Here is a 24323-nt window from a genome sequence, read left to right on the forward strand (position 1 = left end):
AAGTGCTAAAGGATGGTAGGATCAGAATAAGGAAGGAGCCTGGAAACCCAAAACACTGCATGAAACAAAGCCTCGTCCCACCCACCCCCTATCCTCCACTGACGTCCAGGAAACTGAAGAAAGAAATACATTTGTTTTTTCATCGTGTTAAGTCACTGAGATTTGGGAGTTGTCTGTTTTAGCAATTAGCCTACACTGACTGAAATAGTTACTACAGTCCTGTTTAATACATAGGGACTTGGGAACATATCCATAATTCTCATCTCTCCTATGATAAATTCACGAGAGCTATATAATCACTTTGCATAAGGATACATATTATCATAAACTTGTATAGACCCCTCTTCCTATTCTCCCAGGGTTAGATAGCAGCCCCACAGTTATGAGTATAAAACCAAAATGTGGGCTGGGCTAAGTGGCTCATGCCTGTAATCCCAGCGCTTTGGGAGGCCGAGGTGGGCGGATCACGAGGTCAGGAGATTGAGGCCATCCTGGCCAACATTGTGAAACCCCATCTCTACTAAAAATACAAAACCTAGCTGGGCGTGGTGGCACGTACCTGTAATCCCAGCTACTCAGGAGGCTGAGGCAGGAGAATCGCTTGAACCCCAGGAGACGGAGGTTGCAGTGAGTCGAGATCACACCACTGCACTCTAGCCTGGTGACAGAGCGAGACTCCATCTCAAAAACAAAAACAAAAACAAAAACAAAAAACTGAAATGTGGCCAGGCGCAATGGCTCATGCCTATAATCCCAGCACTTTGGGAGGCCAAGGAGGGCAGATCATTTGAGGTCAGGAGTTTGAGACAAGCCTGGCCAACATGGTGAAATTCCGTCTCTACTAAAAATACAAAAAATCAGCCAGGCACAGTGGCGGGCACCTGAAATCCTAGCTACTCGGGAGGCTGAGGCAGGAGAATCACTTGAACCCAGGAGGCATAAGTTGCAGTGAGCTGAGATCACACCACTGCACTCCAGCCTGGGCGCACAGCGAGACTCCATCTCAAAAACACAAACAAACAAACAAACAAAAACTGAAACGCACAATTCTTACTTATGGCTCAGCTCTTAGTCCTCAGAGTAGTATAGCTATCAACAAGGTGGAACTTAGTAGCACATTTATAAAACGTACTCCAAGTCTAAGAACTACAAATCCACTGCAATTTATCTCTGGGTCTAGCCAAGCCGTTAATTATTTTAAACATTCTAACACAAAGGTTAAGATGCAGTGATATTATGACTCAAGGGCATTAAAAAAAAGAAAAAGAACCAGTGATTCATGGGATGGATTTTGCTTACATCCATGTTTTACTGGCTCATACAGCAGTTAACATTTTTTAAAACTAACTCCTAAATTTTGAACCTTTGGGCAATTTCACATAGAACCCAAGTTTCTGGCTTTACTTGAAGGGCTGGAGTATCTAGCAACGCTGAGTGTGCCTCCCTCCATGGCTACACAGGGCTGGTGCTAAGCACCTGCCAGCTTTCAATAGACAAAGCAAGACCTCTCTAGTCCCCCACACAATTGCCTTTCCTCACTTCTACGTAGTACCTCTGAGCATCTGAATTTATGACCCCTGCTCAAGCATATCTGTAAGATCTGACATGGGCCAGTCCCAAACAACACCTGTTTTAAGGATGTGAGGTATTAAGTGGCAATACTTACAGGATATCCAGGGAAAGGTGGGTAGCCTGTTGGGGGATAGCCTGGGTATGACATTCTGTAACAACAATAAAAAATGTCCTCTGTAAGTTTTTTGTTGTTTTGTTTTGTTTTGTTTTGTTTTTTGAGACGGAGTCTCACTCTGTCACCAGGTTGGAGTGCAGTGGCGTGATTTTGGCTCACTGCAACCTCTGCCTCCGGGTTCAAGCGATTCTCCTGCCTCAGCCTCCCAAGTAGCTGGGACTACAGGTGCACGCCACCATGCCCAGCTAATTTTTATATTTTTTGTAGAGATGGAGTTTCACCATGTTGGCCAGGATTGTCTCAATCTCTTAACCTGGTGATCCACCTGCCTCAGCCTCCCAAAGTGCTGGGATTACAGGTGTGAGCCACCGCGCCCAGCCTGTAATTTCTTATAATGGTTAAGGCCTTTGAAAACATACAGATATACACACACATACACAACACACACACACACACACACACAAGGTTTTATGCAAAATATTTCTCTTTTCAAAAGAGTCTGGCATAAAATTAAAATGTGGATATTAGGGGTATAAGCAAAGCTTATTAAATGCTTATTTCATCATTCACACCAATGGAGTCAGTACAGCCTAGAAAGGTTCCAACTTTGTCATGCCATACAATTTTTGTCACATCTCAATTCTACCACTACTATACCAATACTGAACTATTCTTCTTTTCTCTTTTTTTTTTGGAGACGGAGTCTCACCCTGTTGCCCAGGCTGGAGTGTAGTGGCACAATCTCAGCTCATTGCAACCTCCGCCTCCCGGGTCCAAGTGATTCTCCTGCCTCAGCCTCCCGAGTAGCTGGGATTACAGGCGTCTGCCACCATGCTCGGCTAATTTTTTGTTATTTTTAGTAGAGATGGGGTTTCACCATGTTGGCCAGGCCGGTCTTGAACGCCTAACCTCAGGTGAACCACCCACCTTGGCCTCCCAAAGTGCTGGGATTACAGGCGTAAGCCACCTCACCCGGCCAAGGCTTCATCTTGGAAGCAGAGGGCAGTCCTCACCAGATGCCAGCACCTTGCTCTTGGACTTCCCAGCCTCCAGAACCACACCTGGCTGATCTATTTTTCTTTAAGCCAATTTTTAATTCCATTTATGTTAAAAGTATGCTTATCATCAGCATACTTTTAAATATCAGCATACTTTTAAATGGAAAACTTCCAGTAGTTTTCTTACCACAAATAGAAGGTAATATTAAAATAAATACTTAGCTATTACAATAAAAAGTCCTTTCTAGGTGCCACAGAAATCCCCTCATATGGTGATATAACCACATTATGGGAAACAATGGTACAATGGTTAAGAGTTAACATTCTGGAGTCACATATACGTGGATTAAACCCTAGCTTTCTTTTTTATAAACTTTTTATTTTTGAGACAAGGTCTTGCTCTGTCACCCAGGCTGGAGTATAGTGGCACAATCACAGCTTGCTGCAGCCTTGACCTCCTGGGCTCAGGTGATCCTCCCACCTCAACACCCCCCCTCCCCACCCCGTAGCTGGGACCACAGGTGCGTACCACCATGCCTGGTGAATTTTTGTATTTTTTTTGTAGAGATGGGGTTTCACCGTATTGCCCAGGCTGGTCTTGAACTCCTGGGCTCAAGCGATCTGCCTGCTTCAGCCTCTCAAAGTGCTGGGATTACAGGCCTAGCCTCAAATTACTGTTTTAACGACATTTTGAAAATAATTCCTGTGTAGTTATGCTACCAATTTGACACACGTTAGGTCCATTTGTTTCATTTTGCTTTTGACTTTTAAGGTTTAAAAAGTTTTTGATTTAGTTTTGTAATTATGTAAAACATTCTCTGGATTCTAAAGTCAAATCTACAAAACAAGATATGTTCAGAAACCTGTTAACTTCTAACCCTGTCCCTTACTATCTCCTACATATGATTACTTTTACAGTTTATCTACCTATCTTTAAGTACATAAGCTGATATGTCTATATTTGTATCCCCATTCCCCCATTCCATTCTTACATAAAAACTCTGTTTCTTTTTTTTTTTTTGAGTCGGAGTCTGACTCTGTCGCCCAGGCTGGAGTACAGTGGCATAATCTCAACTCATTGCAACCTCTGCCCCTTGGGTTCAAGTGATTCTCCTGCCTCAGCCTCCCAAGTAGCTGGGATTACAGGTGCCTGCCACCGTGCCTGGCTAATTTTTGTATTTTTAGTAGAGATGGGGTTTCACCATCTTGGCCAGGCTGGTCTTGAACTACTGACCTGGTGATCCACCCACCTTGGCCTCCCAAAGTGCTGGGATTATAGGCGTGAGCCACTGCTCCCGGCACATACTCTGTTTCTTTACTGGCTTTTTTCTTTTATTATGGCCAACACCCACACTCTTCATTCCTTTTTAAAAACAACAACATAGGCCAGGCACAGCGGCTCATGCCTGTAAATCCCAGCACTTTGGAAGGCTGAGGCAGTAGAATCTCTTGCAGCCAGAAGTTTGAGATCAGCCTGGGCAACAAAGAAAGACCTCATCTCTACAAAAAGTAAAATAATTAGCCAGGCATGGTGGTGTGCACCTGTAGTGCCAGTTATTCAGAAGCCTGGGCAGGAGGATCACTTGAGCCCAAGACTTCAAGGCTGCAGTGAGCTAGGATCGCACCACTGTACTCCAGCCTGGGCAACAGAGTGAGACCGTGTCTCTTAAAAAAAAACAAAACAACAACAACAAAAAACCACATAGTACTTCAGTGTGTGGATGTATCATGGCTTATTCAATGGCAGACATCTGAGTTATTTCTAGTCTTTTAACTATTACAGTCTTGCAATGAACAGCCATGTACAAGTACCTCTCTGTATATTTTGCCAATACTATCTTCGGGGAAGATTCCTAGAAATGGCATTGCTGAGAAGGGGTAAAGGTGAATGTGATACTGCCCAATTCCCCTCCAGAGGGGCTGTACCAATTTGCATTTTCACCAGCACTGCCAACAGAATTTTCCATCTAACATCCTGGATTTCCAGCTGTGTGAATATGGGCAGTTACTTAGCTTCTCAAAGGAAGTTACTTAGCCTTTTTAGGCCTTCATTTCTTCATCTATAAAATGGGACGTGAACGTACCTACTTAAGGATGTTGTTGTAAGAATTAAGTAAAAGAACAAAGGCAAAGCATTTAGCAGTGCCTGCAATAAAGTAAGTCCTCAGTAAGTGTTAACTGCTATGATCATAGAGAACTGTGATAGATAATACAAGAATATTAAAAAAATAATTAGCATGAAGTTTGGCTTTTATTAATTCATTATAACACTTTCAGTACATTTACTTTCTCAATTTTATTAGACTTAGAATAATTTTAAAATTAGAATGCTTTCTGATGGAAAAAGAAAGTAGGGTGGTAGAGTGTGGTTAGTCTGAGATTAAGGAGGCATTCATATATTATCTATTCTGTGATAATAATGGTGATCAAAAGTTGATAGTCTTCTGATCAGCAAACATAACACTGGAAATATCTTTTAAAAACTGCAGTCTGTACCAGAAAGTTTGAAAGTTATGTTCTTCAAAAGGTGCTCATTTCCATTTGGAAAAGTAAACAATAACCTGCACATCAAGTGATGTTAAGACATTACTATTTTTTTGGTGTGATAATGGTACTATGATTTTCATCAAGTATTCTGATCTTTTAGAGATACACATTAAGTATTTACAAACAAAACGATACGATGTCAGGGATTATGCCAAAATAATATGCAGGAATATTCTATATAATATAGTGCAGGAATTTAGACATAATAAGCAGTCAGGAGTTGATAACTGCTCACGCTGGGTGATGAGTACATGGGGATTCATTACACTCTCCTGTCCATTGTTGAAAAGATGGCTCATGTAAAATAAATGGAGCTAGTGTGGATAAAGACAAATATCCCTATATATATATATATATATATCTTTTGCATTTGAAGAAAACACTATTAACCTAAAGCAAATGTAAATAAACAGAGAAAAAAACAAACATTCAAAAGAATACCCTCTTAGCCTGATCAAATCTAAAACACGGCCAGGCGCAGTAGTTCACGCCTGTAATCTGAGCACTTTGGAAGCCAACGCAGGTGGATCACTTGAGGTCAGAGACCAGCCTGACCAACATGGTGAAACCCTGTCTCTATTAAAAATACAAAAATTAGGGCCGGGCGCGGTGGCTCACGCCTGTAATCCCAACACTTTGGGAGGCTGAGGAGATCACAAGGTCAGGACATTGAGGCCATCCACGCTAACACAATGAAACCCCATCTCTATAAAAAATCCAAAAAATTAGCCGGGTGTGGTGGCATGTGCCTGTAGTCCCAGCTACTTGGAAGGCTGAGGCAGGAGAACCCCTTGAACCCAGGAGGTGGAGGTTGCAGTGAGCCAAGATTGCACCACTGCACTCCAGCCTGGGCCACAGAGCAATACTGTCTCAAAAAAAAAAAAAAAAGGCTGGGTGCAGTGGCCCAGGCCTGTAATACACCCAGCACTTTGGGAGGCTGAGGTGGGCGGATCAACTGAGGTCAGGAGTTCGAGACCAGCCTGGCCAACATGGTGAAACCCTGTCTCTACTAAAAATACAAAAATTAGCCAGGCGTGGTGGCATGTGCCTGTAAGCCCAGCTACTCAGGAGGCTGAGGCAGAATTGCTTGAACCCAGGAGGCAGAGGTTGCAGTGAGCCAAGATCACACCACTGCACTCCAGCCTGGGTGATAGGGCAAAACTCCATTTCAACAACAACAAAAAAATCTAAAATACTATTAGTGATCAGATATAATATACCTGGCAAATACATCTATATAAAGTCAGTAATCACTTTTTTGGCATCTACAAGAAAACATTGCTACAAGTGGAGAGTGAATGATCAAAGGTTTAAACCAGGCTTTTAAAGGTGCTAGACACAGATAGGCAAGAAAGTAGAACAATGTTATTTGCAAGGCAAAAGGTGAGACGTAACTGTGAGACGGATGATCACCAAAATAGACTAAGGAGCAGATTAAGACAGAAGTCAATCAGGAGGCTTTCTGTATGTGTATAATAAAATACTCGTCATTCTCCACCACACCACTCTTAACATCCTTTATCTGTCAATAGCACCACTACTTAAATTACCTAATACTCCAGTATAGTAAGAAACCCAGTATTTTTCTCTTCTTTTTTTTTTTTGAGACAGAGTTTCGCTCTTGTCACCCCAGCTGGAGTGCAGTGGTGCAATCTCGGCTCACTGCAGCTTCCACCTCCTGGGTTCAAGCAATTCTCCTGCCTCAGCCTCCTGAGTAACTGGGATTACAGGCGCCCACCACCACACCCGGCTAATTTATTGTATTTTAGTAGAGACAGGGTTTCGTCATGTTGGCCAGGCTGGTCTCGAACTCCTGACCTCAGGTGATCTGGCCGCCTCGGCCTCCCAAGGTGCTGGGATCGCAGGCATGAGCCACTGCGCCCGGCCAAAACCAGTGTTTTTCTATCCATCCTTTGAAATGCCTCTTCTGTAATTTCTGTTCTCATGGTCATATACTTAGACCAAGTTTCATCACTTGATGCCTGTCTTACTAAAACTCCTCCTCTGTTTATATTCTTGCTTATACTCTGTCACCCTCCCAATTTTCTCAGACACTGTCACTAGCTAAACTTTCCTAAAATGCTGCTCTTTCAGCAAATTGCTCTTCAGCTCAAAAATCATCAATGACTACTGCTGGAGTATCAAATGAAAATTAATTGGCCTGATATACAGGTCTCCTTAGTACTGGCTCCAATTATTATTATTATACATATATTTTTGAGATGGTTTCTTGCTCTATCGCCCAGGCTGGAGTGCAGTAGTGTGACATCAGCTCACTGTAGCCTCGAATTCCTGGGCTCAGATGATCCTCTCATCTCAGTCTCCTGAAGAGCTAAGACTACAGGTGCACACAACCATACCTGGCTAATTTTTTGTATTTTTAGTAAAGACGGGGTTTCGCCATGCTGCCCAGGCTGGTCTTGAACTCCTGGGTTCAAGAGATCCACCCGCCTCAGCCTCCCAAAGTGCTAGGATTACAGGCATGAGCCACCACACCCACCCTCTATTTATCTATTTAACTCATTTCTTACCAACACCTAACCCTCAACGTGAAATCTCTATCACTTGAACCATTCCCAGCATTCCTTTGCTTAAGCCATTCTTATCATTAACTGACTTGGCCCTCAAGCCTGGGCTTACTCACCCCTCCTATCTAGCTCAAGTCTCCTCTCTTCCTTCTTTGAACAACGTAGTTGACTAAAATAGTGTTTCTCAATGTTTTCTTTTTGAGACAGTCTTGCTCTGTTGCTCAGGCTGGAATGCAGTGGCACAATCTCGGGTCACTGCAGCCTCCACCTCCTGGGTTCAAGCGATTCTCCTCCTTTAGCATTCCAAGTAGCTGAGACTACAGGTGCGCACTACCACACCTGCTTAATTTTTGCATTTTTAATGGAGACGGAGTTTCACCATGTTGGCCAGGCTGGTCACAAACTCCTGACCCCAAGTGATCTGCCTGCCTCAGCCTCCCAAAGTGCTGGGATTACAGGCGTGAGCCACTGTACCTGGCCTCAAACTTTAATGTGTATATGAATCCCTAGGGATCGTGTTAAAATAGAGATTTTAATTCAGTAGCTCCAGGATGGGGCCTGAGATTCTGCATTTCTAAAGCTTTCAGGTGATATGGATTCTGCAGGTCTGTGATTCACACTCTGATACCAGAATACTTTGGGATTTCTGGATCTACACCTAATTTTCTAAATTTGTAAATATATGTTTTGGCACTTTTCATCAATACAGCTGTAAATGATTCATATTTCTTTTATATCAGATGCCAAATAAACCCAACTCAAGTCAACATTTATGAAAGTCCACTGTGTAATGAGCACTGTCCTAGGTGCTGATAGAAAGATTAAGTATTCAGCCATTTGAGTACACAGTATAGGAAAATGAGATAATATAGTGTCCCTTATGACAGGAACACAGGATAGAAGCTAAAAATGTGCTGAATTGAGAATAAACGGACATAGATTGAATCAAGGCTATAAGTCAATAAGAAACATAAAATGATATGAAAACTGACCCAGTCAATTATAAAATAATCATTTGGGATCCCAAAGGGCTGGATATAAAAACAGGGACAGGCTGAATTTTTTTGCTTTTTTCTTTTCTAAGCCTGGGTTTGTATAAAGAGTAAAGGAGGGGCAAAAGCTCTAAAGAATGGTCAGATAGGCCAGGCGCAGTGGCTCACACCTATAATCCCAAAACTCTGGGAGGCCAAGGTGGGAGGACTGCTTGAGCCAAGGAGTTAAAGACCATGCTGGGCAACATAGTAAGACCTCGTCCCTACAAAAATATTTTAAAAATTACCCAGTGCAGCGGCGCCCACCTGTAGTCCAAACTATTCAGGAAGCTGAGGTGGGAGAATTGCTTGAGGCCAGGAGGTCAAGGCGGCAGTGAGTCGTGTTTGCATCATTGCACTCCAGTTGAAAGAAAAGACAAGACAAGACAAGGAAAAAGAAAAAAAAAAAGAAAGAAAAAGAAAAGTAGATAGACCAAGGGCAAAAGGGTCAGGGTCAAAATAAAGGAAAAAAAAATCTGAAAATAATTTATGAGATAAATTAATAGTAATTTGAAAGGCAATATGCAGTTACAGTACCAAAGACATCATAAGCAATTTAAATTTCTAAGTTTCAAGAAATTGTTCCAGTGACAAGACCTATATCTAAATTCTTTAGCTACTATCTTAAATCTTACCTTTAAGAGCCTGGAGGAATTATGTCAACAAAAATGAAAATAAGGCAAAGATTATCTGTATATAATAAAAATTAAAGCTATTTTAAGAAAGTGAATTTTGGTACATTTTGAAAAATAATTATATAAAAGACTAGAATGCAATTCCATTTCCAGGAATGTACCTTATAGAAATACTTGCACAAGGACAAAATTATATATGTACAAGGCTATTCACTGCAGCATTTTTGTAATAGGAAAAGGTTAAAAACCATGTGAATGTCCATCAATAAGGGACAGGTGTCATCCCAGGGATGCTGGAATGATTTAACATATGCAAGTCAATAAATGTGATGTATCACATAAACAGAATTAAAAACAAAAACCATATGATCTCAACAGATGCAGAAAAAGCATTCAACAAAATCCAGCATCCTTTACAATAAAGAACTCAACAAATGAGGCATAGAAAGGACCTAACTCAAAATAATAAAAGCCATATATGACGACAAAGCCAACATCATACTGAATGGGGAAAAGTTGAAAGCATTCCCCCTGAGAACAGGAACAAGACAAGGACATCCACTTTCACCACTCCTATTCGACATAGTTCTGGAAGTATTAGCCAGAGGGAAAGTAGGGGAAAGCAATAAAGTGTATCCAAATTGGAAAAGAGGAAGTCAAACTATCACTGTTTGCAGATATTATGACTATATACCAAGGAAATCCTAAAGACTCCAACAGACTCTTAGATTTGATAAATGAAATCGGTAAAGTCTCAGGTTACAAAATCAATGTACACAAATCAGTAGCACTGCTATATACCAAAAACGTCCAAGCTGAGAATCAAATCAAGAGCTCAATCCCTTTTATAATAGCTGCAAAAATAAAAAATAAATAGAATACCTAGGAATATGCTTCACCAAGGAGATGACAGATCTCTACAAGGAGAACTACAAAATACTGCTGAAAGAAATCACAGATGACATAAATGGAAACTCATCCCATGCTCATGGATTGAAAGAATCAATATTGTGAAAATGACCATACTGCCCAAAGCAATCTACAGATTCAATGCGATTCCCATCAAAATACCAAGATCATTTTTCACAGAATTAGAAAAAACAATCCTAAAATTAATATGGAACAAAAAACAGCCTGAATAGCCAAAGCAATTCTAAGCAAAAAGACAAATCTGGAGACATCACATTACCAGACTTCAAATACACTACAAGCCTATAGCTACCACAACAGCATGGTACTGGTTTAAAAGTAGGCACATAGACCAATGGAACAAAATAGAGAACTCAGAAATAAAGCCAAATACATACAGCCAACTGCTCTTTGACAAAGCACACAAAAACAAAAATTGGGGAATGGACATCCTATTCAATAAATGATGCTGGGAAAACTGGCAAGCCACATGAAGAATGAAACTGGATCCCTAACTATCATCCAATGCAAAAATCAACTCAAGTTGATAAAAGATTTAAATATAAGACCTGAAACTATAAAAATTCTAGAACATTGGAAACAGTCTTCTAAACACTGGCCTAGGCAAAAAATTCATGACTAAGACCCCAAAAACAAACGCAACAAAAACAAAAATAAATAGATGGGACCTAATTAAACTAAAAAGCTTCGGCACAGCAAAACAAATAATCAACAGAGTAAACAGACCACCCACAGAATGGGAGAAAATATTTGCAAACTATGCATCCAACAAAGGACTAGTATCCAGAATCTACAAGGAACTCAAATCACAAAGAAAAAAAAACAATTGCATTAAAAACTGAGCAAAGGACATGAATAGACATTTCTCAAAAGATACACAAATGGCCAAAAAACATGAAATAATCATTAATAATTCAACATCATTAATCATCAGGGAAATGCAAATTAACCACAATGAGATACCACCGTGCTCCTACAGGAATGGTTATTCTTAAAAAGTCAAAAAATGGGCCGGGCGCGGTAGCCCCCATCTGTAATCCCAGCACTTTGGGAGGCCCAGACGGGCGATCACCTGAGGTTGGGAGTTTGAAACCAGCCTGACCAACATGGAGAAACCCGTCTCTACCAAAAATAACAAAATTAGCTGGGCATGGTGGCGTGTGACTGTAATCCCAGCTACTTGGGAGGCTGAGTCAGGAGAATTGCTTGAATCCGGGAGGCGGAGGTTGGGGTGAGCTGAGATCACGCCATTGCACTCCAGCCTGGCAACGAGAGCGAGACTCCATCTCAAAAAAAAAAAAAAAAAAAGTCAAAAAACAATAGATGTTGGTGTGGATGTGGGGAAAAGAGACCGCTTATTACACTACTATACAGCCTCTACAGAAAACAGTATGGAGACTCCTTGAAGAGCTAAAAAAGATCTACCATTCAATCCAGAAATTCCACTGCTGGGTATCTACCCAAAGGAAAGAAAGTCATTATATGAAAAAGACTTTTGCACATGTATATTTATAGCAGCACAACTCACAACTGCAAAGATGTGGAACCAATCTAAGTGCCCATCAACTGAGTGGATAAAGAAAATGTGGTATATATAAACCATGGAATACTACTCAGCCATTAAAAGGAACAAAATAATGTCTTTTGCAGCAACTTGGATGAAGCTGGAGGCCATTTTTCTAAGTGAAGTAATACAGGGGTGGAAAACCAAAAGCCGTATGTTCTCACTGTGTAAGTGGAAGCTAAGCTATGAGTATGCAAAGACATAGGTATGAAGTGATATAATGGACTTTAGAGACTCAGAAAGGGGAGGGTGAAAGGGGGCTAGGAATCAAAAACTACACATTAGGTACAATGTACATTACTTGGGTGACTAAAATCTCAGAATTCACCACCATATAATTCATCCATGTAACAAAAAACCACTTGTACTCCAAAAGCTGTTGAAATTTTATCTTTTTTTTTGGAGATGGAGTCTTGCTCTATCATCCAGGCTGGAGTGCAGTGGTGTGATCTCCACTCATTGCAACCTCCACCTCCCAGGTTCAAGCGATTCTCCTGTCTCAGCCTCCCGTGTAGCTGGGACGTGCCACCGCACCCGGCTAAATTTTGTATTTTTAGTACAGACAGGGTTTCATCATGTTGGCCAGGCTAGTCTCGAACTCCTGACCTCAGGTGATCCACCCACCTCGGCCTCCCAAAGTGCTGGGATTACAGGCGTGAGCCACTGTGCGGGGCCATTGCTTAAATTTTTAAAAAGGAGGGACAGGTGAAACAGATTATGGATAGCCATACAAGGAGGTGTTATGTGGTTATTAAAAATGAGGCAGCTTTTTCTTTTACCCATATATGAAACCATCTATAACACGTATTAATGAAAAAAAAAAAAGGCAAAGTGAAAAACTGCATAGTGTGCTGCCATTATGTGTAAAAAATGCACTGATTTTGACTTATAGAATATCCCTGAAAGGACACTCAAGGAAGTAGAAAACAGTGACTGCTTCCTGGATGAAGAGCTGGGACACAATGGAGAAGACTATTTACCTTTCTTTTTTCTTTTTTTGAGATGGAGTCTCGCTCTGTTGCCAGGCTGGAGTGCAGTGGCACGATCTCAGCTTACTGCAACCTCCGCCTCCGGGGTTCAAGAGATTCTTGTGCCTCAACCTCCTGAGTAGCTGGGACTACAGGCGCCTGCCACCACGCCCGGCTAATTTTTGTATTTTTAGTAGAGACGGGGTTTCACCGTGTTAGTCAGGATGGTCTCGATCTCCTGACCTCGTGATCCTCCCGCCTAGGCCTCCCAAAGTGCTGGGATTACAGGCGACAGCCACTGCGCCCGGCCGAGACTTACTTTTCAATGTACTTTAGCCCTTTTAGAATTGTACATATATCATTTATTCAAGAGGCAGATTTTAAACGTTTTTGTAAAAAGCTAAATAACACCCAGAGTGACTCAAAAAATTTCTCAACTTTGCCCAAGTGAATAGTAAGTCTAGAGTTTTTTGGGTTTTTTTTTTTTTTGTGACAGAGTTTCTCTCTGCCGCCCAGGCTGGAGTGCAGTGGCGATCTTGGCTCACTGCAACCTCTGCCTCCCGGGTTCAAGCGACTCTCCTGCCTCAGCCTCCAGAGTAGCTGGGATTACAGGCGCGCGCCACCACGCCCAGCTAATTTTTGTATTTTTAAGTAGAGACGGGGTTTCACCGTGTTGGTCAAGCTGGTCTCAAACTCCTCCTGACCTCGTGAATCTCTCGCCTCGGCCTCCCAAAGTGCTAGGATTACAGGAGTGAGCCACCGCGCTCGGGCTTTTTTTTTTTTTTTTTTAAACATTCTCTGTTAGCAATCACTTTTAAAAGACTAGAAAATCATTTTTGGTTTTCCAAACCACCTCCACCCAGTGAGTCAGTTAGTAAAAGGGCTGGGTCTCACCGTTTCTCATTGATGGCATGAAGCCCAGGAACCCAAGAGGCAGCTGTTGCAAATTTATGGGGGAAAAAATACACGAAACAGGAAGGGTGACTGAAGATACGCGCAACAGCGAATACAATTTTGCAAAACCGGCTTCTAGGTATGGTAGGATCATTTAAATCCGTCAGTGATGTGGAGAAAGAACATGGAGGCATGGCTAGTCCTCTGCACGGACAGGTAGGTAGCCAACCACCAGTGAGGACTGAAAGACAGTCCTCACTGAAAAGGACTGAAAGTTTGCAGTGGCCAAAATTATCTCTTTTACCTATTCAGTGCTTGAAACTCTTTCCTTGCCTGGAAGGTAACTCATTACACTCATCATCTAATTCGGACACATTTAGCAGATTAGCTGGCCATCAGCTGGCAAAAATCAGGGCGTTTACGGCAGTCGGAAGACAACAGCGTCATGTCTGTCACTTTACGGTGGACATCAGCCATCTACCTCTGCACCTTGGTTTCCTTGCGCAGTGTTTGCACAGGATGAGCTAATTTCAACACAGATTTGCTGCTGGTCGGGGAACAGCAATCAAATCTGGAATGCTATTCTAGAATAGCTTCCAAGAACTGTAAACGAGAACCAGTGTACGACCTTGGCCTGGCGCATTCTGTCCTACGGTTCACTAAACACAGTAAAAATTTCCCCAAGTTTCCCTAAATTCGCTGTGTCACCGGAAAGTACAGCCACTACCAGCCAGACGGCTTTCAGCACTGCCCGTGCGTTTCCCTACTCAGCCTCCCGCGAGGCAGCTGGGCCACGCTCCGGCCTCAGCCCCTCCACCTGCCCGAGGGCGGGGCGCCACTGGTCCCTGGGATTTCCAAACGGACGGAAGGGCTTCCCGTAAGCCAGGCCGGCCGCCTCACCCACGCCACCCCAACACACCCCGGCCGGCAGCCCGGCTACGAGACGCGCAAACCGAGTCGCCGCCATCCGGGAGGCCCACACTGCCCTCCAGCCGCGCCCCACTAGCACCGGGACAGCAGCGCCCAGAGCTGGCCGAGGGCAAGACCACCGAGGCAGACGAGGTGGGAAAGGGAGGGGGGCGCCGCTCCTCACCTGACCCCAGCAGCAGCGTCACAGCCCAACCCGGTCTCCCGCAAGATGGAGCCGGGGGCGGGCCCAGGGTGGGCGGGGCGTCTCGCGAGCCCGTTAGGATCGCGGCTGCAGCCGGGAACACCCCCGGAGCCGGAGAGGGCGCTGCGGGGAGCGGGCTGTCCCTCAGTCCCGCCCCTAGGCGCCACCTGAGGGAAAAAGACTCTCCCTTCGGGTGGCCCAGCGGATTTTTAATCACATTTATCTGTCGCAAGGACCCTGCACCAATCCCTTTTAAGGCTGCCTCAAGTCACCTAGGAAGTTGCAGCAGTCCTGGGGGTATCCGGGGCCCCTTCAGTGGCGGGCGGTAGAGAAGGGCTGAGACTGGGAGGCTGGTGCAGCCTCCCCGCCTCTGAAATACCGTCCTCCAGGTATTTTCTGGGGACAAAGACGGCGTTTTTTGTTAGCCTCCTGTGAAAGTAATATTTGTGGGAAATCTTAGTTGGAACTGTAGATGAACTAATCAAAATCACTCCCGAAAGGAGTTGTTAGGTGATTTTAGGCTCCCCTCGTGGCTACAGCATTGAACACACATTAGCATTAAACATTTGAGGCAATTACGAGGGCTCAGATCAATATTTTAAACTCGTTAAGGAATTTATATTACAGAGAAAACCAATCAGCTACCTTTTAGAGTGGTAAAAGGTAGCTTCTGGGTGTGGTCCCCCGAACAGCAGCATCACCTGGAAACGTGTTAGTAACGCAGATTATTGAACTCCACCTTAGACCTACTGAATCAAACTCCCCGGGTGGTGCCCAGCAACCTGTTTTAACAAGCCTTCCAGGTGGTTCTGATGCACACTAAAGTTTGCACATCTGATGCACATCAACTTACTTATTCCTCTACACACTTTTCTACCCAAAAGCTTCCTCATGGGGGTGGAATAGAGTGGATTACGATTTTAAATGGGAAGAGCAAGCAAAATATACGTGGCTTCCAAATAGGTGTGTGGAGTGAAAAGTATTTGAGGCAGGTCATTGCCTCATTTAACAATGGTAGACAAAATGCACAACTCTCTAGGTGACCAGCATTAATTCCCCGGCGCCCAACAGTCTGTCTACCTGGAAAATAACAGGACTTTCTGTCCTACCTACCCCAGAGACCTCCAGGATTTAAGCCTTCCCTGAGAAGCCTACTCTGTTCATTCTAGAGTTCCCTTTGTGAGCTCGTTCCAAACCCTCCCTCTGCCTTAAATACCACCATAACAGGGTATTTGCCAAACCTCTTATTTCCAGCCCACTTTCCTGAGCTGCAGGAATAGTCCAATAGTCTACTACGACATTTGCCATTTCATCCTTTCAATTCATCCTTTCTTCCTGGCATAAAAGGCGTTACAGGATCGGAGACCCTTTCCTCCTGCTACCTCTGCTTAGAAAGCACTGCTCATCTTTTAACAATTACTCATCTTAATTAGACTTGTTTTCAAGGTTGCTCATCTCCGTCTTGCTCCAATAAACTCTTCCTGATCTTCTTTTTTGTACTCAACTGGACCATTTTAATTTTTTAATTTTTTTGGAGACAGAGTCTTGCTCTGTCACCCAGGCTGGAGTGCTGTGGTGCGATCTAGGCTCACTGCAACCTCTGCCTCCGGGGTTCAAGCGATTCTCATGCCTCAGCCTCCCGTGTAGCTGGGAGGCATGTCACCACGCCCAGCTAATTTTTTTGTATTTTTAGTACAGATGGGGTTTCGCCATGTTGGCCAGGCTGGTCTCGAACTCCTGGCCTCAAGCGATCCACCTGCCTCAGCCTCCCAAAGTGCTGGATGTATTACAGGCATGAGCCACCATACCTGGTCAACATCTCTGAAGGCCATGGTATGTTCCAGAGTTCATGTGAAATAAGAGCCATCATGCTTCTAATGTGAACATCCCACTGTATCAGAGTCTGGTTTTTTTTTGTTTGTTTTTGTAGTTTTGAGACAGGGTCTCATTCTGTTGCCCAGGCTGGAGTGCAATGGCACAATCTCAGCTCATTGCAACCTCTGCTTCCCAGGTTCAACGAATTCTCCTGCCTCAGCCTCCCAAGTAGCTGGGATTACAGGCATCCGCCACCACGCCCAGCTTTTTTTTTTTTTTTTTTTTTTTTTTTTTTTGAGACAGAGTCTCACTCTGTTGCCCAGGCTGGATGGAATGCAGTGGCACGATCTCGGCTCACTGCAAGCTCTGCCTCCTGGGTTCACGCCATTCTCCTGCCTCAGCCTCCCGAGTAGCTGGGACTACAGGTGTCTACCACCACGCCTGGCTAATTTTTTGTATTTTTAGTAGAGACAGGGTTTCACTGTGTTAGCCAGGATGGTCTCGATCTCCTGACCTCATGACCCACCCGCCTCAGCCTCCCAAAGTGCTAGGATTACAGGCATGAGCCACCACGTCCGGCCTAAATTTTTATATTTTTAATACAGACGGTGATTTGCCATGTTGCCCAGGCGAACTCCTGACCTCAGGTGATCCACCCACCTCGGCCTCCCAAAGTGCTGGGATTATTACAGGTGTGAGCCACCACGCCTGGCCCAGAGTCTGGTATTTAAGTTCATATCCTTTTTGTTCCATTAGAATAGTAATTTTGTCCCTCAGGGACACCTGACAATGTGTGGAGACATCTTTGTTTGTCACAACTGAGGGGAGGTGGTGGGGTTACTAGCATCTAGTGGGTGAAAGCCAAGGATTCTAAACAAGGTACGTATCCTACAATGCCTACAGTCCCTACACAAAGAATTATTCAGCCCAAAAAGTCAATAGTGCTGAGGTTAAGAAACCCTGAGTCAGAGTGATCTTTCTAAAGAATAAATTGGGTCATGTAATTCCCGTGATTAAACTTTTTTAATAGCTTCCCACTGGAACCAGAATAAAATAAAATCCAAACTCCTGATGGTCTATTAAGCCCTAGATAATCTGGTCCCTGCCTACATCGCTCATCTAATCCCTTTTCACTTTTTTTTTTTTTTTTTTGAGACGGAGTCTTGCTCTGTCGCCCAGGCTGGAGTGCGGTGGTGCAATCTCAGCTCACTGCAAGCTTCGCCTCCCAGGTTCACACCATTCTCCTGGCTGAACCTCCCAAGTAGCTGGGACTAAAGGTGACTGCCACCACGCCCAGCTAATTTTTTTGTATTTTTAGTAGAGACGGGGTTTCACCATGTTAGCCAGGATGGTCTTGATCTCCTGACCTCGTGATCCACCTGCCTCGGCCTCCCAAAGTGCTGGGATTACAGGCGTGAGCCACGGCGCCTGGCCTTCACTTTCCTTAATCACTAACCTCTGAACACAGTGGCCTTCGGTCCAAACATACCAAGCTTGTGACCAAATGCACCAGATTCTCAGGACCTTGGCACTTGCTATTGCTTCTACTGGGAATGTTCTCCATGGTGTCATCTCAAATGTGGTCTCCTGGCTGGGTGAGTTGGCTCACACCTATAATCCTAGCACTTTGGGAGGCCCAAGGCAGGCAGATCACTGAAACCCAGGAGTTGGAGACCAGCCTGGGCAACATGGCGAGACCCCATCTCTACAAAAAACACAAAAATTAGTCAGGCATAGTAGTGTGCACTTGTAATCCATCTACTTAGGAGGCTCACAGGGGAGAATCACTTGAACCTGGGAGGCAGAGGCTGTAGTAAGCCAAGATCTCACTACTGCACTCCAGCCTGGGTGACAGAGCCTGACCCTATCTCAAAAAAACAAACAAAAAATGTCATCTCCTCAAGGTATTTCCTGAACATTAGTAGCTGCCACCAGCACAACCACCACTAGCAGCTATGCTCATTATTTAATTTTCCTTATACCACTTAAAAGCATCTGAAATTCTGGCCGGGCGCGGTGGCTCACGCCTGTAATCCCAGCACTTTGGGAGGCCGAGGCGGGCGGATCACGAGGTCAGGAGATCGAGACCATCCCGGCTAAAAACGGTGAAACCCCGTCTCTACTAAAAATACAAAAAATTAGCCGGGCGTAGTGGCGGGCGCCTGTAGTCCCAGCTACTTGGGAGGCTGAGGCAGGAGAATGGCGTGAACCCGGGAGGCGGAGCTTGCAATGAGCCGAGATCCCGCCACTGCACTCCAGCCTGGGCGACAGAGCGAGACTCCGTCTCAAAAAAAAAAAAAAAAAAAAAAAAAAAAAAAAAAAAAGCATCTGAAATTCTGTGTGTTTACTGTTTCTGTCCCCATCTAGAATGTAAGCTCCTTGAGAACAGGGATATCTTTAGAGCCTAGTAGTGAGTGTTTGATAAATAATTGATTGTCTGATTGACTACAATAGGGCCCCCAAAACCCAAGCCAACTACTTCGTCTGGTGATCAGCCAAATACAGATTTATTTCCAGCACTGGGAAAAACTGGCTCTGATAGACCTACTGAGAGAACCCATGTGCTACCCTAAAGGATTTTCAAAGGTAGTTTTGAAAATTTTTTTTCATTTCATATGCTGACTTTAGAAAACATAACTCCATTATATTGTCCTTGCTTATGTCAGTCTCCTATAAGGGCAGAAGCCATCTTAGAATCCTCAGCATTTGACAATAAGCTAGGCATTTGGACTTTTGTGTACTATCACCACCATTCTACTAAATTGGATGTTTTTGCGCCACCTGTTACTGTGTAGTTTCTAATTATATTCTGGCTGACAGATACATCACCCTTCATCCATCACAATCAGCAAACAAATCCTAGATTTTACTTTCATGTTCTACCTGCAAAATGTCACTATTTACTTTACTTGTAGTTAAAAATTACCTCTTGCTCTCCATACCTACTGATATAATCTTAGCTGACACCTACATTATCTCGTCTGAACCATGACAATAGTGTCCTAACTGGATTTTCCATTACCAAACCATCTTACACACTACTGCTAGTTCAATCTGTGTTACTGAGCAAAATTCAAAATGATATTTATCAAATAATAGCTACTAAGGACATACTATTTGCTAGGTACTGTGTTAAGGATTTAAATATCCTTATTTTTTACATTCTCTAAGATTAGAAAAATTTGGTAATAGCTTTATTGAAATATAATTCACCCATATAATGTGTACAATTCAATGATTTTTAGTACATTCAGAGTTGTGCATCTACCACCACAATCAATTTTAGAATGGTTATATCCCATATCCTTTACCCGTCGCCCCCAATACCCCCATCCTTCCCCTCCACATGTAGCCACTAATCTACTTTGTCTCCATAGACTTGCCTATTCTGAACATTTCATATAAATGCACTTGTACAATATGTAGTCTTTTGTAACTGGCTTTCATATTGTAACATGAATCAGTATTTCATTACTTTTATGGTCAAATACTATTTCCTTGTAAGGATTTACCACATTTTGCTTATCCATTCATAAGCTGATGGATATTTTGGTTGTTTTCATCTTTTGGCTGTCATGAATAATGCTGCTATGAATATTTATATACATATGATTTCATTTCTCATGGGTACAAACCTATGAGCAAAACTTCTGGGTCAAATGGTAAGTCAATTTTTAACTTTTTTTTTTTTTTTAAAGAGACAGGGTCTTGATTCGTTGCCCAGGCTGGTCTTAAACTCCTTGCTTTAAGCAGTACTCCTAGCTCAGCCTCCCAAAGTGCTGGGATTACAGGCGTGAGTCATCATTACCTGGCCCTCAATGTTTAACTGTTTGAGGAACTGCCAGACTGTTTTCCAAATTGGCTGCATCATTTTACATTCCCACCAGCAGTGTATGAAGGTTACAATTTCTTCACATCCTCATCAACATTTGTTACTACCTCTTTTTTTCATCATAGCCATCGTAGTGGGTATGAAGTGGTATCTCATTATAATTTTAATTTGTATACCTTAATGATTGATGATGTTGAGCATCTTTTCATGTACTTATTGGCCCTTTATACATCTTTTTTGGAGAAATGTCTGTTCAGATCCTTTGCCCATTTTTAATTGGGTTATCTGTCCTTTTAAGTTGTAGGTCCCTTATCAGATATATAATTTATTAATATTTTCTCTCATTCTTTTTTTTTTTTTTTGAGACAGGATCTCGCTCTGTCACCCAGGCTGGAGTGCGATCATGGCTCACTGCAGCCTCCTGGGCTCAAGCGATCTTTCCACCTCAGCCTCCCAGGTAGTGTGACTACAGGCATGCGCCACCATGCCCACTAATTTTTTTTTTTTTGTAGAGATAGGTCTATGTTGCTTAGGCTCATCTTGAACTTCTGGGCTTAAGCAGTCCTCCTGTCTTTGCCTCCTAAAATGTTGGGATTACAGGTGTGAGCCACCACACCTGGCCTAAAATTTTAAATTTTGATAGTCTAATTTATTTATTTTTATTTTGGTTGCTTGTGTTTTTGGTGTCATACCTAAGAAAACATTGCCAGATAAGTTCACAAAGATTTTCCCCTTTTTTTTCTTTGAAGAGTTTTAGTTTTGGGTATTTGAACCATTTTGAGTTAATCTATGTATATTGTGTGAGGTGGGGGTATAGCTTTATTCTTCTGCATCTGGATATCCAGTTGTCCCAGCACTATTTGTTGAAAAGTCTGTTCTTTTCCCAATTAATTGTTTATGTACCCTTGTGAAAAATCAATTGACCATAAATGTTAAGGTTTTTTTTTTCTTTTTTTTTTTTTGAGACAGATTCTCACTTTTCACCCAGGCTGAAGTGCAGTGGCACAATCTTGGCTCACTGCAGCCTCAACCTCCTGCGCTCAAGCGATCCTCTCACCTCAGCCCCTCAAGTAGCTAGGACTACAGGTATGTGTCACCATGCCCAGCTAATTTTTTTTGTATTTTTTTTAGAGACGGGGTTTTGGGATGTTTCCCACACTGGTCTCAAGCTCCTGGGCTCAAACGATCTGCTTGCCTTGGCCTCCCAAAGTGCTGGGATTACAGGCATGAACCACCATGCCCTGCTATTCTTGTTACAGTCTGAATGTTTTGTGAGCCTCCTCCACCCCAATACATACACATACACATACATACACCACACATACACAAATTCACGTGCTGAAATCCTAACCTCCGGCTTTAGGAGGTGGGATCTTTGGGAAATTATTAGGTCATGAGGGCAGAGCCCTCATGAGTGGGATTAGTGTCCTTGTAAAAGAGGAAAGAGTGAGCTCAGTCGCCCCTTCCACAGTAAGAACATGCCCTTCTCAGACACGAAATCTGCTAGTGCCTTGATCTTGGACTTTCCAGCTTCCAGAAATGTGGAAAATAAATTTGATGTTTACAAGCCACACAGTTTACAGTATTTTGTTACAGCAGCCCAAGCAGACTAAGACAATTCTCAATTCTACTGCACTGACCTTATGTCTATTCTATGCCAGTATCACATTGTCTTGACTACTACTATTTTGTACAGGTTGAGCATCCCTAATCCAAAAATTTGAAATTCAAAATGCTCCAAAATCCAAAGCTTTTTGAGTACCGAGATCCAAAATGGTCCAAAACCTGAAACTTTTGGAGTGCCGACATAGCACTCAAAGGATACGCTCACAGGAGCATTTTGGGTTTTCAGATTAGGGATATTGAACTGCTAAGTATACAATTGATTATAGGTTTTGGAACTGGGGGCCGGGCACAGTGGCTCATAATCTCAGCACTTTGGGAGGCTGAGGAGGGTGGATCTCTTGAGCTCAGGAGTTCAAGACCAGCCTGGGCAACATGGCAAAACCCTGTCTCTACAAAAAATACAAAAATTGGCTGGGCATGGTGGCTTGCACTTGTGGTCCCAGCTACTAGGGAGGCTGAGGTGGGAGGATCACTTGAGCCCGAGACTCTGTCTCAAACAACAAAAAAAAGAAATTGGGATGTGCGAGTCCTCCAACTTTGCAAACATTTTCGTTTAACTTCAATATTAATTTGGGATACTTGGTATTATCTCCATTTTACAGATGAAGAAACTAAGGCTTAGAGAAGTTTAGCTTCCCTTGCAATATAAAATTTGATGGCTGTTCCAGGATTCATACTCAGATCTACAAAAATCCACAATACTCCTATCATCTTATCTCAATCTACCTTCCAGACTTAATTTATACTAATCCCTAAAGGTACCTTCAAATATCCCATATGCTTTTCTGCCTCCAAACTTCTGGTCCTGTTGTTCCTTCCGTCTTGAGTGCCTTGTGCTCTGTTTCAAAAAATTCTCACTCAGAATATTTTCACTATCGTTTAGCAAAATGATCTCTTTCCACTCTATTTTTTTTCTTTGTTTCAAGTTTTAATCAAAGCTTGTATATAAGATTACTTTATTCCTGCATCTTCACAATTGTTTCTTCCTTGTATTTGCCCTTTTCCTTTCCTACTTGGCGAGATTTGGCTTTCCGTTCAAGGATCTTTTTGCGGTCTTTGTCCAGTTTTAGCCTAGTGATGACCACCTTGCTAGGGTGAATGCCTATGTGGACAGTTGTGCCATTAGCTTTTTCCCACTGCACCCATTCATTGTAGATAACATATTTCTTCCTGTAAACCTGGACTACTTTGCCAATTTGCTGATCTTTATAGTGTCCTCATACAACCTGAACTTCATCATCCTTTTGGATGGGCATGCATCGCACGTTGTACTTCTGTCTCAGCTCTTTGGCAAGAGGGGAAGACATAATTTTCCTGTGAATGTGGGAAGGTGCATTGAAATGCCTTTTGCAATTCTTGCTTCAGTCAGAAGTCACAAAGGGATTAAACTTCATTTTGGCCGCTCCTGCTTCAGTGATGGCCGCAAGAGGGAAGAGAGCTCTTTTCACTCTATTTCCTTAGCACCAGAAGCCTCTCTCGTGTTTCTTACTCCATATTATACCTTGCAATAAAGGTATCTCCAAATACATAAATATTATTTCCCTTCCTAAGAATAAACACCATGTCTTATTCACCTTTCAATCTCCCCAAAGCCAAAATACAGTACCTGTAGTATGACAGGTACTGTTTTCAATGAATATATGAAATTCTAAAATTATCCCTATTAGAGTGGGCAATAGAATGTGTATGTATGTGTTGGGTGATGGGCTGTAATATGTGTGTGAGAGACAGTCATGGCAAGATTGTAGGAATGAATACCCAGGAAATGTCCTAATCCTGAGAGTATGATGAGAAAAGGATGACATTGGCTGGGCACAGTGTCTCATGCCTGTAATCCTAACACTCTGGCAGGCTGAGGTGGGAGGATTGCTTGAGCCCAGGAGTTTGAGACCAGCCTGGGCAACACAAGGAGGCCCTGTCTCTAGAAAAAAAAAAAAAAAAAAGTTAGCTGGGCGTGGTGGTATGTACCTGTAAGTCCCAACTACTTGAGAGGATGAGATGGAAGGATCACTTGAGCCCAGGAGTCTGAGGCTGCAAAGAGCTATGATAATGCCACTGCACTCCAGCCTTGGCAACAGAGCAAGACTCTGTCTCCAAAAAGAAAAAAGAAAAAGAAATAAAAAAGAAAAGGATGACATGAGGCAAATGTGTGACAGA

At 43.0% G+C, this 24323-nt stretch overlaps 1 protein-coding gene and 1 pseudogene across 5 annotated transcripts in view, besides 5 other annotated features; both read right to left on the reverse strand.

The window, feature by feature from the left end:
- Nucleotides 1-14922, reverse strand: part of ANXA7 (annexin A7) — a 38958-nt gene extending 24036 nt beyond the window's left edge. For 2 of the 5 annotated variants that reach the window (NM_001156.5, NM_004034.4), the window contains exons 1-2: nucleotides 14876-14922; nucleotides 1667-1721 (exon numbers count right to left, since the gene is read on the reverse strand). In NM_001156.5, coding sequence (NP_001147.1) covers nucleotides 1667-1720 — 54 coding nt within the window. In that variant the 5' untranslated portion in view covers nucleotide 1721; nucleotides 14876-14922. Of the gene's footprint in view, nucleotides 1-1666; nucleotides 1722-9039; nucleotides 9183-14875 lie in introns of those variants that run through there. The other 3 variants (NM_001320879.2, NM_001320880.2, XM_017016162.3) reach the window with 2 other exon arrangements.
- Nucleotides 6580-7080: an enhancer, noted in NCBI's record as "H3K4me1 hESC enhancer chr10:75165474-75165974 (GRCh37/hg19 assembly coordinates)". NCBI's record gives its function as "activates a minimal SCP1, AML or CMV promoter by ChIP-STARR-seq in primed H9 embryonic stem cells {active_cell/tissue: H9 hESC(primed)}" and the evidence as "EXISTENCE:reporter gene assay evidence [ECO:0000049][PMID:30033119]".
- Nucleotides 11395-11602: a silencer, noted in NCBI's record as "fragment chr10:75170289-75170496 (GRCh37/hg19 assembly coordinates)". NCBI's record gives its function as "represses an EF-1alpha promoter that drives an FKBP-Casp9 reporter gene in an ReSE screen in K562 erythroleukemia cells {active_cell/tissue: K562}" and the evidence as "EXISTENCE:reporter gene assay evidence [ECO:0000049][PMID:32094911]".
- Nucleotides 13936-14055: an enhancer, noted in NCBI's record as "active region_3561". NCBI's record gives its function as "activates an Ori minimal core promoter by ATAC-STARR-seq in GM12878 lymphoblastoid cells {active_cell/tissue: GM12878}" and the evidence as "EXISTENCE:reporter gene assay evidence [ECO:0000049][PMID:35858748]".
- Nucleotides 14066-14145: an enhancer, noted in NCBI's record as "active region_3562". NCBI's record gives its function as "activates an Ori minimal core promoter by ATAC-STARR-seq in GM12878 lymphoblastoid cells {active_cell/tissue: GM12878}" and the evidence as "EXISTENCE:reporter gene assay evidence [ECO:0000049][PMID:35858748]".
- Nucleotides 14546-15105: a silencer, noted in NCBI's record as "silent region_2483". NCBI's record gives its function as "represses an Ori minimal core promoter by ATAC-STARR-seq in GM12878 lymphoblastoid cells {active_cell/tissue: GM12878}" and the evidence as "EXISTENCE:reporter gene assay evidence [ECO:0000049][PMID:35858748]".
- RPL26P6 (ribosomal protein L26 pseudogene 6) lies at nucleotides 23080-23602 on the reverse strand (annotated as a pseudogene).

The sequence above is a fragment of the Homo sapiens genome, chromosome 10 (assembly GCF_000001405.40).
Source record: "Homo sapiens chromosome 10, GRCh38.p14 Primary Assembly".
NCBI classification, from domain to species: Eukaryota; Metazoa; Chordata; class Mammalia; order Primates; family Hominidae; genus Homo; species Homo sapiens.